Source organism: Homo sapiens, chromosome 15 (genome assembly GCF_000001405.40).
Source record: "Homo sapiens chromosome 15, GRCh38.p14 Primary Assembly".
Classification (NCBI taxonomy): Eukaryota; Metazoa; Chordata; class Mammalia; order Primates; family Hominidae; genus Homo; species Homo sapiens.
This window is the reverse complement of record NC_000015.10, coordinates 32,461,487-32,477,867: the sequence shown is the minus strand read 5'-3', so window position 1 is coordinate 32,477,867 and position 16,381 is coordinate 32,461,487. Positions and strand designations below refer to the sequence as shown.

Below are 16,381 nucleotides of genomic sequence, written 5' to 3'. Positions count from 1 at the left end.
AAGCTTGCCTTACAGTATCCAGTCAAAATACTGTTTTCCAAAATTAGTTATTTTCTTCTTCATCCCTTTCAGTGTGGCCACTATTTATAATGCAGTTTGGTTCATTAGTGTTTGTATTCCAAAAACACCCTCAGCCTTCCTATCCTAGTTTTAATGAATTATTACGGTGAAACATAATAAGAGTCGGAGCTATACAGAAAGGTCTACTCAGAGGTGCTTTGTTCCCTCCTATTCTGTTCCCACCACTCCTACTTTCCACTACTTTTTCCACTGACCCTGTGAGCATCATATTTATTGTTAATGGCAGTTACATTTTTACCAAGTGCTTACTATCTGTAGGCACTTGGTGTGTATTGCTTCTTCTGGTGTTCACAGCAACCTCTTGAGGTAGGCACTATTATTATCCACCCCCCCCCGCCCCGTTTTTTGAGACAGAGTCTCACTCTGTTGCCCAGGCTGGAGTGCAGTGGTGCGATCTCAGCTCACTGCAACCTCTGCCTCCCAAGTTCAAGCAATTCTCCTGCCTCTGCTTCCCAAGTAGCTGCAAGTACAGGTGCGAGCCACCACACCCATCTAATTTTTGTATTTTTAGCAGGCATGGGGTTTTGCCATGTTGGCCAGGCTGGTCTCAAACTCCTGACCTCAGGTGATCCCCATTTTTTAGATGAGAAAGCAGAGTCCCAGAGAGCATAAGGAGCTTGTCCAGAGTGGCATCTCTGATGCATAACCAGTACTCAAACCAGTATTTTTCTGACACCAAGGCCTGTGTGTAAACTGTAAAAGGGCTGTTTGGTACCTGCTTTCCTAAAGTTGTCTGATCCCTTCTCAGTCCAGGTCTTCCTGAAGCTTGGCACTTCTGAAGTCACCTTTCTGAAAACATTCTGGTAACTGTTAGATCCCTTGTTGTAGCTATTCATATGTTCTGTGTGGTTAAACAAGGTTCACAGTGGGCCACCTGGCCTTTGGAACTTGGCTGAAGAGGCTGCCTTCAGTTCATCCTCCCCACCCCCGTTTTCAAAACATGGGTTTCCATGTGTTCGTTGTAAATTAGGAAACATAACCATGTTTTGAGGCTTCATAGAAAACAAACGTCTGGGGTCACACAGGTTAAAGGAGGAACCAAATTCAGCACTATCACTGTTCTATTCGGCAGGCAATTCTGGGGCCTTCCTGTGTCTCAGGTTCTGTACTAGTTGTTTCAGGACTTTGGGATAAACACAAACTATCCCTGCCCTCAGGGGGATTAAGGTCAGGTGTACAAATGACTCTAATGCGAGGCAAGGCTGGATTCAGTGCTGGAAGAGGAGGGCATACCTAACACTACGGGAATTCAAAGAGGAAATGATCAGAATGAGGAGGGAGAGATGGGTCATTCCGGGAGAAGCTTCAGGGAAAGGCAACATTTGAAATGAGACTTTGGAGAGTGAGGGAGGTTTGGGCAGATGGATAGAGAGGATGCAAGGCCAGGGGAAAGGTTTGAGCCAGAAAGTCAGCTTGGGCAAGTGCATGGGTAAAAAAAGAAAATCCACTTTGGGAGGCCGAGGCAGGTGGATCGCCGGAAGTCAGGAGTTGGAGACTAGCCTGGCCCACATGGTGAAACCCTGTCTCTCCTAAAAATACAGAAATTAGCTGGGCATGATGCTGGGCACCTGTAATTCCAGCTACTTGGGAGGCTGAGGCAGGAGAATCACTTGAACCCAGGAGGCAGAGATTGCAGTGAGCTGAGATCACACCACTGCACTCCAGCCTGGGCAACAAGAATAAAACTTCATCAAAAAAAAAAAAAAAGAAAGAAAATCACAAGGCAGTGTGGAGAATGGTGAGTAATCTAATTTGGTTATTGCAGAGAGGATGTAGAAGGAAGTGACAAGAGAGAAAGCCAGACAGGTGGCTTGGGGTCATCTTAAGGGCCTTTGTGCCAGTTAGGATGTTCCAGACTTCAGTCAGGCTGCCCAGCTCAGACTGGCTCAGACAATGAGGGGGTTTATTGGCCGTGTAATTGGGAAGTCCAGAGGCTCCAGGACTACAGAAAATTATTATTTAGTATTAGTTTGACAGCAACACCTTCTGTTTTCTGGGAGCAGGAGATGCTTGTCAAGCTGTAGGTCACTGAGTTGAATATTATCCTGCTTTATTAAATTGCCAAGGGCACGGTAATTGTTGAGAGGGGAGAAGTACACATGAAAGAAAACATGACCAGCTTAGAAACGTCAAATCATTATGACGTTGTTATAAAGTATTATAATTCTTTGAGCGTCTACTATAAGTAGAGAAACTTGAGTTCCAGGTTGTCGGCTTGGTTCTGCCAACAATCAGGAACGTGGTTTTGCATGAAGCCCTTCTTTCTCCTATAATCTTCAGTGTCCTCACCTGCAAAATGAGGCCTTTATATATATATATATATATATATATATATATATATATATATTTTTTTTTTTTTTTTTTTTTTTTTTTTTTTTTTTTTTTTTTTTTTTGAGACGGAGTCTCGTTCTGTCGCCCAGGCTGAAGTTCAGTGGTACAATCTCTGTTCACTGCAAACTCCCCCTCCTGGGTTCACAGCATTGTCCTGCCTCAGCCTCCCGAGTAGCTGGGACCACAGGCACCTGCCACCACGCCCAGCTAATTTTTTGTGTTTTTAGTAGAGATGGGGTTTCACCGTGTTAGCCAGGATGGTCTCCATCTCCTGATCTCGTGATCTGCCCGCCTCAGCCTCCCAACGTGCTAGGATTACAGGTGTGAGCCACCACGCCCGGCCAAGGCCTTTATTATACTATGGTTCCTACTGTTTTTTAAAATACTTTTATTAAGTCCAACATTTTTATTAAGAACATTGCTTTTATACATGCCTATTTATGAAAGGGGTTTTCGAGTGTTTACCACTTTTTATTAGAAATAGAGACAGTAAGAATGTTTGACTTAATTGACACAGGCATAATTGAATGGGTATAAATGGCATGCCATAGAAAGAGAAAATTAAGTTGAGCTACTCTGTTGGTTTCACTGATGAGGGGATACATCATTCAAACAGCCAGGAATTAAATCCGTCCAGCTCACAAATGGGGAAACCAGCTGTGTCTGTACCCATGGCCAGCCAGATTGAACACAAATCAGGAAAGTCAATAACTTTTCCTCAGTTCTGAGGGACTTCAGTGGCTGCGGTTCATTTTCCTTTTGCTTCTGAAACAGTGCAAGTTGATGCTCGCCTGGACAGAGCGGCAGTGAGTGGTGGCGTCTGAAGGCCAGGTCTCTGTTGAGATGACTACACGTCGTCTCCCAGTGCCCAATGCATAGAAAAGATACACTACTAAGTGTGAGATGCTCAGTGAAAAATAAAATCTGGGGTTGAATCATCATGGGGGATACTGCATACTCTGTTTCCCCCCTGCAGATTTCCAATGCTCATTAGTTTATAGAGACTCTGAGAATTCCTACAGCAAAGGCACCTGCCAAGGTACTTACAAACTAGTTTAGCTAAACCAGACTTTCAACAATTGGTTACTAAAGACCACTCAAAGTCTGTCAACACTCTGTCATCTCTATGTAATGACAGAAACATAGAAATTCAGGGTAAATGTTTAGAAATTTCTATAGAAACTTGACATTCTCCCAGCATCTGTATGTGACATCAGGGGACTTGTCTCAATGAGCAGTTACAGACCAACTCAGGTTTTGTCAGACTCGATGGAAAGATGCAGAGGCTGTGAGCTGCAAACGAGTCACATACACAAGGACCACATTGCAAGCTGTGTTCTTTAAGGTTAGTTTGTCAACTATAGTATAATCTCACACATCTGAAAAATGGGAACATCTATTCTATAAAGTCTTATTTTTGCAATAATTTTAATTTTAAATCAAGCCAATGTTAGCATTATTAGTGAAAACAAAAGAAAGTTGTGTTATTTATTATTAAACCTAATTTGAGAGTGAAATAAATTGTATTAATTTTTTTAACCAATAAAAGATGCACCTTGTAAACCAAGAGATGATTATGAAAGTGATTCTGAGGACATGAAGACCAAAGGAGTTTGTCCTCGTTTTACTCAGAAGTACTATTTCTAATGGACAGATGATCCCTGACATACAATGGTTTGACTTATAATTTTTTGACTTTATGATGGTGTGAAAGTGATACGCATTCAGCAGAAACCATACTTCAGTATTCAATAAATTACATGAGATATTCAACACTTTAAAGTGGGTTTGTGAGAGAGAATTTTTGCCCAATGGAAGGTGAATGTAAATTTTCTGAGAATGTTTAAGGTAAGCTAGGCTAAGCTATGATGTTAGCTTAGGTGTATTAAATGCATTTTAATTTAATTTAATTTAATTTAATGTTTTGAGACAGTGTGTTTTGTTCTTGTCACCCAGGCTGGAGTGCAATGGCATGATCTCGGCTCACTGCGACCTCTGCCTCTTGGGTTCAAGCGATTTTCTTGCCTCAGCCTTCCCAGTAGCTGGGATTACAGGTGCGCACCAACATGCCTGGCTAATTTTTGTATTTTTAGTAGAGACAGGGTTTCCCCATGTTGGCCAGGCTGGTCTCTAACTCCCGACCTCAGGTGATCCACCTGCCTCAGCCTCCCAAAGAGTTGGGATTACAGGCTGAGCCACTGCACCCGGCCTTAAATGCATTTTCGGCTTATATTTTCAACTGATGATGAGCTATAACTCCTTTGTGAGTTGAGGATCATCTGTCTTGAATTTGGTTTTACAGGCATAACTGAAGGTGAAAGGACAGAATCACCATGTGTTACTGGCACAGATGCATCGGCTAGTGAAGAAAGAAGACATTCAAACTGTAAGTTGCATTCACGTGGGAAGCACAAAGAATTAAATTCAAAACAATGAAACATTAGAGAAAAGCATGGAGTTAAAACACAACAGAATCAGATGTTTACTATTTCTCATTTTAACACTAGTGCTTTGCGGGCTTCTAATAAAGTTGTACTCCAGGAGGCTAAGACTGAAAAGTGACACTAGTGAAAAGTAGCATTGAAATAGTTCCTTAGAAAAGTTGGGTGAATGTGGGGCAAAGATGCCACTAAACTTTAATTTTCCATCGACACACAAATTCAAAGTTTTCCAGAACTGGCAAGTAAAATGGAAGATCCACTCACAGGACACATGCAGTGTGTGAGGGGAATGCTTTTCAGCACTTCTTGATGGATGCACAAATAATGCCAATGTGGTAAATGTCTTTGGTAAATGTGCAATGGAATGTAGTGGTTGTGTGAAGGAAGAATTTTGTTTTCAGCTTCATTTTTGATAAACACAAGCAGCTCTGGACTGTGTGAAACCATGGAGCACCGCACAGTTAACAGAGGTGGTTTGGAGTTTTTTAGCTTTGCATAAGAGGATGTTCTGATGCAGAATCTACAGTGACAGGAAACCATTCTGGACAAGTTACAGAATTAAGGGGCTTGTGCCGGGATGGAAATAAATCAATGACTTCTGTCTTTGAGAAGGTTTTTCTCTGCTCCTCTGTGATGGTTAATTTTTTTTTTTTTTTTTTTTTTGAGATGGAGTCTCGCTCTGTCCCCCAGGCTGGAGTGCAGTGGCGCCATCTCGGCTCACTGCAAGCTCTGCCTCCCGGGTTCATGCCATTCTCCTGCCTCAGCCTCCCAAGTAGCTGGGAGTACAGGTGCCTGCGGCTAATTTTGTGTATTTTTAGTAGAGCCAGGTTTCACCATGTTGGCCAGGATGGTCTCGATCTCCTGACCTTGTGATCCACCCGCCTTGGCCTCCCAAAGTGCTGGGATTACAGGCATGAGCCACCATGCCCCACCTTTTTTTTCTTTTCTTTTTTTTTTTCTTTCTTTCTTTCTTTTTTTTTGTTAGTCCTTCCCTCCAGTGTCGTGGAGATAATTGGAAAATATTTTAGAGCAAAAAAGTTTATTTCTCCTTCTTGTTGTTAGCAAAGAAATTTATTTTTCCTTCTTGTTATTTATTGGCCTTGGAGACATACACCAAATAGCTCATTCTACTTCTGAAATTTTGTTTTGATTTCCCTGGCCCTCCCCACGAAGTATTTCAGATTAGCAGGGAGTCAAGCATTGTCTGTCTGTCTGTGAATAAAATATTTCAGGCTGCTTTTGCATAATATACATGCTCTTGCCTTTACGAGTCACACTCACATCTTCTGGTTTTGTAAGACACCAGGTAGAGAAGAAAACAATGTTTCTGAATTCTGCTTTATCAGCCCAGTAGAGAACTCCTCCCTTCCCTGAACTGAGGGCCACATCTAAGGGGTTGAAACAGGGCCAGTTACATTCTATGTTCCCAACATAATTGTCCATGCATGGATCCGATCAAGTTAAATGAGAAATAGGATATTTATTCTAAAAACAAGTTATTGCTACAATAATAATAATACTATAGTAATATTATTATTCTAATAATGATATTAGAATAAAAACTGGTTATTAAAGTACTAAACAGTTGAAAATCTAAATGTCTCACAAGGTCAACTATAGCAAGTATATAAGATTTCATATTAGTCGCACGTCAAAAATTATATCCATAAAAGTAATGACATATGAAAACAGTTTATTGATACAGATATAACAAATATAACTAAACTGTGCTGAAATGTATTTTAAAATAAAATATGCCAAAATATTATTGATGATGACTTTGGATGATGGTATTACCACTAAGGTTTCAAATTTAATTTGCCTCTTACTTCTGAGTACTTTTATAAATTTTTAAATAATAAAATTAGTGTGTTAAAAAATATCAAGTGATATCTAGAAATCAGAAAAAGGCATATTGCCAGAGGAGGACCGAGTTAGTAGATTTGAGGCTCCATTAAGTTTTGTTTATGATCAAAAAACAAACAAAAACCAGGCAACAGTGGCAAAAAATATCTCACTTCCTTCCTGGAAAAGTAAATGAGACTACAAAGAATTTCCAAACTTAAAAACTATACATTTCAAGTCTGTTCATAACTAGTGAAGTCACAGTTTCTGAAAACAATGATAAAATTTTAATTGATATTTAATTCATATTTTTTGTTTAAAAAACTATCAGTATTGGAAGATAAATTTCATGGGAAAAGCATTGAATCATTAAGTTTTGCAGTCACAAAGGTAAATATAATTTGCTTAATGCTGCCCTCAGTTTACAATGAGTCTTTAGTATTTTCTAAGCTATGAGTTCACCAAAATATAGGATTGTTTTGCTGCATATAATTTGCTCAGTGATCAAACACTAAGGAGTTACCTATGTTAAGATGTGAATAATAAATTTATGCAAAATTTATGAAAGTGTACATTGTAAAGACAATAAAACTTTCCATTAAATTGGTGGGAAAGGAGCTCAAAACCTAGCTGGGTGATTCATTATTTTAATGACTTCCTGCTTTACTGCAAAACCTCTCTCTTCATTCGGTGTTGGTAGTTTGAACCCCTGTTAAGGATATAGGCTCACAATGAAGCTTCTATAAATTTCTGGACCTCTGTCATGCTGGCATGTATGTCATTCTCCTTTAGGAATGATGAAGAGACTGGAAAGCGGTTGCTCCAAGGGAAGGGATAATTTTGCAAACCTGAGCTGTCTAAGCTCAGCATGAATTGGAGTGGGCTGCTGACTCAGGCTAGCAGAGGCAGCCAGGAAACATGCAAATCTGCAATCCGTTCTGCCAGGTCTGTCGCAGCAGGTGTCACTAAAGGCACCCCTGTGTGCTTGTCACTGTGGCAGCCTTGACAAGGAAGGTGGAAAGGAAAAAGAGACCCAGTGCTGAACTCCAAGCAGAGATGGGGCTTTTCTCTATGCATATTTTCCCTCCCCTCCCAGCCTGCATTTCCAATAACATATTGATTTATATTTGTATTATGAAACAAAAGTGGTTGTAATCAGATGTTCTTTCCTTTTACACACAATGTTAGCTCCTATTTACATTCCTAACTGAACAATGTCTAAAGAGGTATTTAAACTGATGTAAAACGCAGATAATCTCATGACCAAATGCTTAGCGCAAGAAAAAACTTCAATTTGCAAGAGAAGTCCCTCCAAATACAGAAAGGACCAGTATTGTAAGAGGTACCTTAACTAAAATGTAACAATGTAAGGCGCAGAGCAGGAAGAACTTTTAAGTCTGAAACTTACAACAAGTCAATTTCATAGTCAGTTTCCCTGGGCCTTCCACAACAGCCTCCGGCACCTGTTTTCTCTACAATGGAGGTAACAATAGTAGCTATTTCAGAGCAGGAAAAGGCTTAGAGCAGTGCTAGAAGAGGGTCGTGGCTATATAAAGTTTAGCTATTTGTATATTGTAAGAAACCAACGATGTGTTCTTTTATCGGTAGTCAGTAATGGATTTCTTGTGGGAAAGTAGCAGCCTCCTATGGGGGGAACACCCGCAGGTCCCACTAAGTGAACACTGGTGTCTGCTAACCTTTGCCTCTATTTGTCGCAATAATATACTGTCAAGCTGTTCCTTGAGTTAGCAATTTTATTTACATTCTTTTTCTTTTTTTTTTCCTTTCCCTTTTCCTGCCACAGAGTCCCGCTCTGTCGCCCAGTCTGGAGTGCAGCAGCGCCATCATAGCTCACTGCCACCTAGAAGCCGGGGTGAAGCAATCCTCCTCCATCAGCCTTCAGAGTAGCTGGGACTACCTGCGCGGCCCACCACACCCGGCTAATCTTTGTGGTTTTTGTTTTGTTTTCCGTTCTGGGTTTCCGTCGGGCGCAGTGGCTCAGGCCTGCAATCCCAGCACTTTGGAAGGCAGAGGTGGGCGGATCACCCGAGGTCGGAGACCAGCCTGACCAACATGAAGAAATCCCGTCTCTACTAAAAAAAAGAAAAAAACTACAAAATTAGCCGGATATGGTGGCTCATGCCTGTAATCCCAGCTACTAGGGAGGCCCAGGCAGGAGAATCACCTAAATCCGGGAGGCCGAGGTTGCGGTGGGCAAAGATCACACCATTGCACTCCAGCCTGGACAACAAGGGTGAAACTCCGTCTCAAAACAGAGACCGGGTTTCACCATGTTGCCCAGGCGGTCTGGAACTCCTAGGCTCAAGCGATCTGCCACACTCGGCCTTCCAAAGTCCTGGGATCACAAGGGGGAGGCACCACGCCAGGCAGATCTATTCCTTTCTGGTTACTAAATTGGACCGGGGGCGCGGTGGCTCACGCCTGCAATCCCAGCACCCAGGGAGGCGGAGGCGGGCGTATCACTCGAGGTCAGGAGCTCGAGATCAGCCTGACCAACACGGAGAAACCCCGTCTGTACCAAAAAAATAAAACCAAAATTAGCTGGCATGGTGGCTCATGCCTGCAATCCCAGACACTCAGGAGGCTGAGGCAGGAGAACCACCTAAACCCGGGAGGTGGAGGCCGCGGTGAGTCGAGACCACGCCACTGCACTCCAGCCTGCAAAACGAGCGAAACTCCACTCAAAAAAAAAAAAAAAAAAAAGACAGTGTTTCACCACGTTGCCCAGGCCGGTCTGGAAGTCCTAGGCTCAATCGATCGCCGCGCTCGGCCGTCCACAGTACTGGGATCACAAGCATGAGCTACCACGCCAGGCCGATCTATTCCTTTTTGGTTACTAAATTGGACCGGAGGCGCGGTGGCTCACGCCTGCAATCCCAGCACCCAGGGAGGCGGAGGCGGGTGGATCACCCGAGGTCAGGAGCTTGAGATCAGCCCGACCAACACGGAGAAACCCCGTCTGTACAAAAAAAAAAACACCAAAATTAGCTGGCATGGTGGCTCATGCCTGCAATCCCAGCCACTCAGGAGGCTTAGGCAGGAGAACCACCTAACCGGGAGGTGGAGGCCGCGGTGAGTCGAGACCGGAAAACACTCTAGCCTGGAAAACAAGAGCGAAACTCCGCTCAAAAAAAAAAAAAAAAAAAAAAAAAAAGACCGTGTTTCACCATGTCGTCCAGGCTGGTCTGGAACTCCTAGAACCTGTAGATGTTACCTCATTTGGAAAAAGCATATTTTCAGGTATGATTAAGTTAAGGATCTTGAGGAGAGATTATCCTGGATTGTCTCCGTGGGCATTAAATCCTGGCACATATATCCTTATAAGAGGGAGATAAAGGAGATTTAACTTCAGACAGAAGAGAAGGAGGCCCTGTGACCAAGAAGGCAGAGCCTGGAGTGGTGGAGCTGCAAGCCAATGAATGCCAGCAGCCATCAGAAGCTGCGCAAGTCAAAGGATGGATTTTCCCCTCAGCCTCTGAGAGCACTGGCTCTGCTGAGACCTAGATTTCAGCCCAGTGATACTGATTTTGGACTTCTGATATCCAAAACTGTGAGAAAATAAATTTCTGTTGTTTTAAGTCACCACATTTTTGGTAATTTGCTCTAACAGCCACAGGAAAGTAACATACATGCCTACCTGGGTCCAGTTGTGTCCTGTGACTCCTGCTTTCCTGGGACAGGCAGGCTGCTCCGTGCCTCCTGGCCATCCTACTGGGTGCTGGACGCTGTAGGCTACTCCATGCCTGTTGGCCATTCCCTTTGGTGCTGGACAGCACTCACATTGTGAAATCCACTGGCCCTGTGAAAAACACCTGGAAATGTTACCAGGAGAGGGGTTAGTTCTCTTTTTGGCAACCCATGTTATTGCTTATGGCTTAATATCTGTGCCTCCAAGATCCCTTCTCTCTGCCTTCATCGATGCCAGGAAAGCAGTCACCTTTTGCCTTTCTTTGCTTCTCAGCAAGTGGCATGTCTCCATGTCACTTTAAGCATCAAGCACACGGAGCCCAATAAGATGCTGAAAAGTGTCTGCCTACAAGGTTACAAGGCGGTGGAGACATTCTGAGCCGGTAACTGCAGGGCTCAGTAAAACCGCTACAGGAAATCTCAAGTTCAAAATGCTGAAGTGAAAAATGGGTGATCACAACGAAGGGAAACACAAACCCCTTCTTTTAAAAACATTATGGTGATAAGGCACAACATAAAATTTACCATATTAGCCACTTGTAAGTATACAGTGCAGTAGTGTTAAAAATATACATGTTGAGTAACGAGTTTCTAGAACTTGCTTCTCTTGGAGAACTGAAACTATAGCCACTATACAACAACTCCCCATTTCTCTATCCCCTGGCTTATGGAAACAACCGCTCTATTTTCTGTTTCTATGAGTTTGACTAATTTCGAACCTAATGTAAGAGAAATTGTACAGCATTTGTCTTTGTGTGATGGGCTGATTTCAATTAGTGTAATGTTTTCAAGGTTCATCTATATTGCAGCATGTGACAGGGCTTCTTTCTTTTTTAAGGCTGATAATTTTATAGTATTCCGTTGCATGGATAGACCACATTTATTTATTCATTTATTTATTTATTTATTTACTTATTTATTTATTGAGACAATCTCACTCTGTTGCCCAGGCTGGAGTGCGGTGGCATGATCATGGCTCACTGCAGTCTGAATCTCACATTCTCAAGCGATCCTGCCGCCTCAGCCTCCTGAGTAGCTGGGACTACAGGCACATGACACCATGCCTGGATATTCGTCTTTCTGTGTAACTGGTTGAGAAACAGGGGAGTAACAGTGAAGAAACGGTCTTAGAATAAATCTGGTGACAGCAGAAGAGAATATGAGACAGATTGTGCTCACAGAGCCTTGAAGAGTGTGACAGTATTTGAGGGCCACGCTGTTGTCTTAGAGTGAAGTGAGGAGAACCTGCACTGGTTTGGTAGTCATGGGAATGGAAGGAGGAAAGAAATGTGAAAGCTCATCGGTGGCAGAGTCAAAATGGCTTGGTCTTTGTAGTCAACGATTAAGTGAGAAGGAGGAATTACTGGCTGACTTAGAAGAAGTAAAAAATGTGAAATACCGATAAAACACAAATCTCGTGATTTTAGTCAGCGTAAAGACTAAGCATTGTGTGATTCTAGATATATTATTAAGCAGTTTTGTTCCAGTATTTTATATCCCATATCTTCTAGCTATGACCCTATTTCTTTGTTTCTTGACATAGACAAACATTTTTTAAACTAAGAGCTTTATTGTGATACAGTTTTTGTATGATAAGCCTCACCCTTCAAGTGTACAGTTCAGTGGTTTTTAGTATATTCAGAGTTATGCAGCCATTACCACTCCCTAATTTCAGAACATTTTCATCTCCCCAAAAAGAACCCCGTACCCACTAGCAGTCACTCCCTGTAGCTCTCTCCCCCACCATTGATCCTGGCAACCTCTGATCTAACTTCTATCTCTGTAGATTTGCCTATCCTGGGCATTTCATATAAATAGAATCATACAACAGTGGCATTTTGTGACTGATTTTTCTTTACAGTGATTATAAATCAAATGCCTGAAGACGCTAAGCTTAGGATAGTGTTTGCTGTACAACTTTGATAACTGAACTTTTGTAAAGCTGAAAATGTGACTGTGTCTGTATATGTGGCATATTATCCTTAGATGATCCTTACTTCGATTATTAAGAATTTTTTCCCCTAGTAATCTTCAACTGTCTCAATATTCAGCAGGAACCCCTTGGAGACAAAGATCAGTACGAATTTGGAACACCTATTGACAAAATGAATGTAATTTAATTTAGTACAGTAGTAAAGTCAACCACTTTTAGGTGTTGATGCTGCTGAAAGTGTATATTAAGGAAAAACTTACTTACCTTACTTTTTGTGGAGGTGCTAGAACTACTTCTGTCTTGTGTTTAGATTTCAAGAAACCTTTGCATGGGCATTATGTGGTTGCACAAATGTACTTCGTTTTGACCTGAAAATGCAAAAACTTCCTTTCTTCCCACTTTCTGAGACTCTGCAACCTTAAAGGAAGAGTGGGGTTCTTTAAAGGAAAGGTGGTGGTGGTTGGGTCATGGGTAACAATGTCTACTGTGTACTTCCTTTCCCAAAACAAGTCCCTGTCTACCGTCAGCATTTCCAAAACTTGAAGGTCAAGTGTGGTGTTAACTCATGAACTAATGACTAGACTTTGAGCGGTTGTGGAAGCAAAATCTCAGTGAGTGCCTGGATGTTCTAATTCTGTTAAGTCAGTGAGTGCATATTCTGTACAATACTCTCTTAGCCCAGTGGCAGGTTTAAGGAGTGGGAGAGAGATTTCTATGTTTCGGAAATCAAATACACAAAGAATAAAAATTTTTAATCCCATGAATCTTTGCCCGAGTTTAATTTCTTGGAGAGTTTTTCTTTTAGATTTTCTTTCCCTTCCATTAAACTTTTACTTAGAAAGGTCCCAGGGTTTGGGCAAAGCAAGTGGGAAAGACACTTGCTTGGGTTCTCCAGGATAAGGGATTGAAGAGGACTTCTTTCCCTCATTTTATTATTGAATAATGTCACAATAACAATTATTAAGGTGAATAGTCTACAGTGGAAGTGTTTAGATGCCTTGTCTGCAAAATAACTTGGTTTAGTCAACCCAAGGATGCCTTTGGTTAGCTGGAATGGGAGATGTGCAGGTTAGAGTGGTCTTGGCAAGTCTTCCAGGGGGAAATACAGCATTTGGAAGGGTAGGAAGCAGAAGGAATCTCAGGCAAGGGAAAGGCGTGGGCAGAGCCCCGGAGGACAGAACAGGTTGTGGTGGACTTGGTGTCCACATAGACCTAATTAGTGGTCTTAGCTTTTGTGTTTTCAAAATTACCACAGTTTGTGTTCTAAAACTGTCATTCTCTTGATTTTATTTTAGACATACTATCTGTGTATTTTGAAATTTAAAATAACAGTAAAGGAGAAACGAATTTATTTTGTTTGAGAAAGAGTTAAAAGGTTAAAACATCTTGATCTTAATAATTTTCTAATGGGAGATTTGGTACACCCCCAGAAGTTGTCTTTGGTTCAGAGAATAGTGTTCAGATCTAGAAAGGACTTGAGAAGTCCCAGAGAGGTGCTGCATGGTCTGAACCATTTGATTCTCACGACAGAATGGATAAAAACAATTTGAACCAGGAAACCATGCAGATGTTCATATTTTGGATAGGGTAAGGTCAGTGCCGTCGTCAGAGGAAAAACTCTTGGCCATCACAGGATGGGAGAGAAAGTTTGAGTTGTGAAGAATACTCAAATGCCGTTTAAGGAAACGGGTTCTTCTGCACCTATTCTTTGGAATATTTAGGGCTAAGTTCTTAGTTTTTGACATCATAAAAATGTCAAAGTATTCTGTTCTAAGAGCCATTTCAAACAACTGACTAGAATTTCAGAGCAATTACATGAGAGTAATACCATTAAAATGTTTAAATTACCCATAGTCCTATATCCCTAACAAGTATGTTCACGCTTGCATGTTCTCTTCTCATCTTTACTGTGTGCATACTTTCTTAGTAATGGCACGTAGACATTGTTTAAGCAGGAATAATTCTCGAGATAATTTTGTATGTTTCCTTTTTTCTTTTTAAGGTAGGTATTGGGTGGAGGAGCATTATATTTGCAACTTCTCGCAAAACACGTGATTATTTTCTTATAATATTCAATTTTCACCCTCAATAGAGTGTTTTGATTATGTAAGTTAGACAGAAAGTAGAAGGTTCTCTTAGGGAAATTTTAGTGTTTTTTTTTCATAGCTCCTACTTTCAAGAATGAAAAAGGTAAACCAGTAAAATGACACTGTACTTGGTGCTGCATCTATGCTGGGATAGGCATTAAGAGTGACCTTTATTTAAGGTTCTAATTTGCTCATGTTGGGCACTTAGAACGTCAGTTTGTTGCTTTTTGTGAGATTTTGGAAATGGTCCAATTTTACTTTTTCCCCTTGACTCCAGACTTTTTAACACTGATCTGCTGCTGTTGAGGCATATGCCGTTTTGTTAGGCCTCCTCAAGTGGGAGTCAGGAATGCTGCTGTGTTCCAGAGAGGTTTTGTTCTTCCTGTAGGGCTGAAGCAGTGCCTACTCAATAAAACCAGTCATCGTGCAAAGAAATGCCACCTGACTCAAAGGCAAAGCCAGAGTGCAGCTAGGAGCAAAGAAGGTATTTTATTAAGAATTTTACATAAACCATAAGATATATTTTATATTACTTTGCGAGCCTTCTTCCTGTCTTGACTTAATTCTTTTTGAGAGAATTCATTTCATTTTCATTTGGTTGGTTTTCTTCTTGTTACAAAGATGATCTATAGAAAATATAGAAGTATAAGAAAATTAAAGATACTGATAATTGCTTAATGATTTAGTATCTGCTTGTTTAGTCTTTGTTATATTTACAGTAGGCAAACATGTCTACCGTTGTGAATTTATTACTGGTATGTATACCCTAGTAAGTTAAAAGTTGTACGTACTTTGAAGTTTTGCAAAATTGAGTTCATATTATAGAATTAATTCCTGATGAACTTTTATGTGCTAGGCACTGGTCTTTTTATTTAATTATTTATTTTTACTTTTTTTTCCTCTGTGCCTATGCTTACCAAGTCTTTTTATTTTTTACTTTTTATTAACTCTTTTAATCCTCTGGATAAATTAAAAAGAGGGTATTATTAATATCTGCATTTTGTAGATGAGGTAACTGAAGGTAGGTAACTTGTCCAAGGTCACAGGTGGCAGAGCAAGGATTAAAACTAGACAGTCTGGCTGCCCAAGGCCCAACGAAGAGGAGCTGAGAGCAAGCCACCGGGCAGAAGGATGTTGGTCAGGCTGGTTTCCTGTTCAGTTAACAGGAAACGCAGGCTTAACCTTAATTCTAGGACGTTACCGAGAAAGCCTTCCAAAGCCATAGGTTTTTTACCATGACCATGACTTCTTTTTTTTTTTTTTTGAGACAGAGTCTCACTGTGTAGCCCAGGCTGGAGTGCAGTGGCGCTATCTCGGTTCACTGCAGCCTACCTCTCTTGACAGTCCACTGGTTAAAGTGATTCTCCTGCCTCAGCCTCCCGAGTAGCTGAAATTACAGGCGCCGGCCACCACGCCTGGCTAGCTTTTGTGTTTTTAGTAGAGACGGGGTTTCACCGTGTTGGCCAGGCTGGTCTTGAACTCCTGACCTCAAATGACCCACCTCTGCCTCCCAAAGTGCTGGGATTCCAGGCGTGAGCCACCGTGCCAGGACCCAAGGCCCTTAAGTTTTAACGTCTCATTCTTCAGTCAGGTTTTCCTTGTTCCTGCGTGTTCAGCCATTTGTTTTTAAGTTTGTGTTGAAGGAGAAACTAACAACGAAAATGGACTTGTTGACGGAAGAAAAGTAGGAATGCAGCCTCTGGTGCTGTTTGAGTGATCCCTCTGCCCCAGGCCTGGCTGCGCGCTGCTGTGTTCTGGAAAGGCGCATTGTGCCCTCGCTGTGGCAGGTAAGAGTCCTGTACAGGTGCTCTGCCCACTTTACCTTTCAGGCTTCTGTATCAGCTGTTTTTCCCTTGTAGAATGTGCCCCTGACCTGTGCCCCTGACTTCCACCCCTTAACCCTGCCCAATACATCTTTACATGTCTGACCATCAAGACTCTTCTGGGTCATATTC

General features: G+C 41.7%; 1 protein-coding gene and 2 long non-coding RNA genes across 3 annotated transcripts in view; 2 read left to right on the top strand and 1 right to left on the bottom strand.

Annotated features, from left to right (window-relative positions):
- The first annotated feature begins 4,423 nt into the window (after positions 1–4,423).
- Positions 4,424–13,103, top strand: LOC105376710 (uncharacterized). The gene is made up of 3 exons (XR_932073.3): positions 4,424–4,466; positions 4,715–4,798; positions 8,503–13,103. It is a non-coding gene; the product is annotated as an uncharacterized LOC105376710 (long non-coding RNA).
- The window catches only part of LOC124903456 (uncharacterized), an 11,925-nt gene continuing 4,963 nt past the window's right edge, over positions 9,420–16,381 (bottom strand). Inside the window, exon 2 of the long non-coding RNA XR_007064570.1 lies at positions 9,420–10,531. This is a non-coding gene — a long non-coding RNA (uncharacterized LOC124903456). The remainder of the gene's footprint in view (positions 10,532–16,381) is intronic.
- Positions 15,884–16,381, top strand: part of GOLGA8O (golgin A8 family member O) — a 20,071-nt gene continuing 19,573 nt past the window's right edge. Inside the window, exon 1 of the mRNA XM_024450042.2 lies at positions 15,884–16,213. The gene's annotated coding sequence lies outside the window, so the exon portion shown is untranslated. The remainder of the gene's footprint in view (positions 16,214–16,381) is intronic.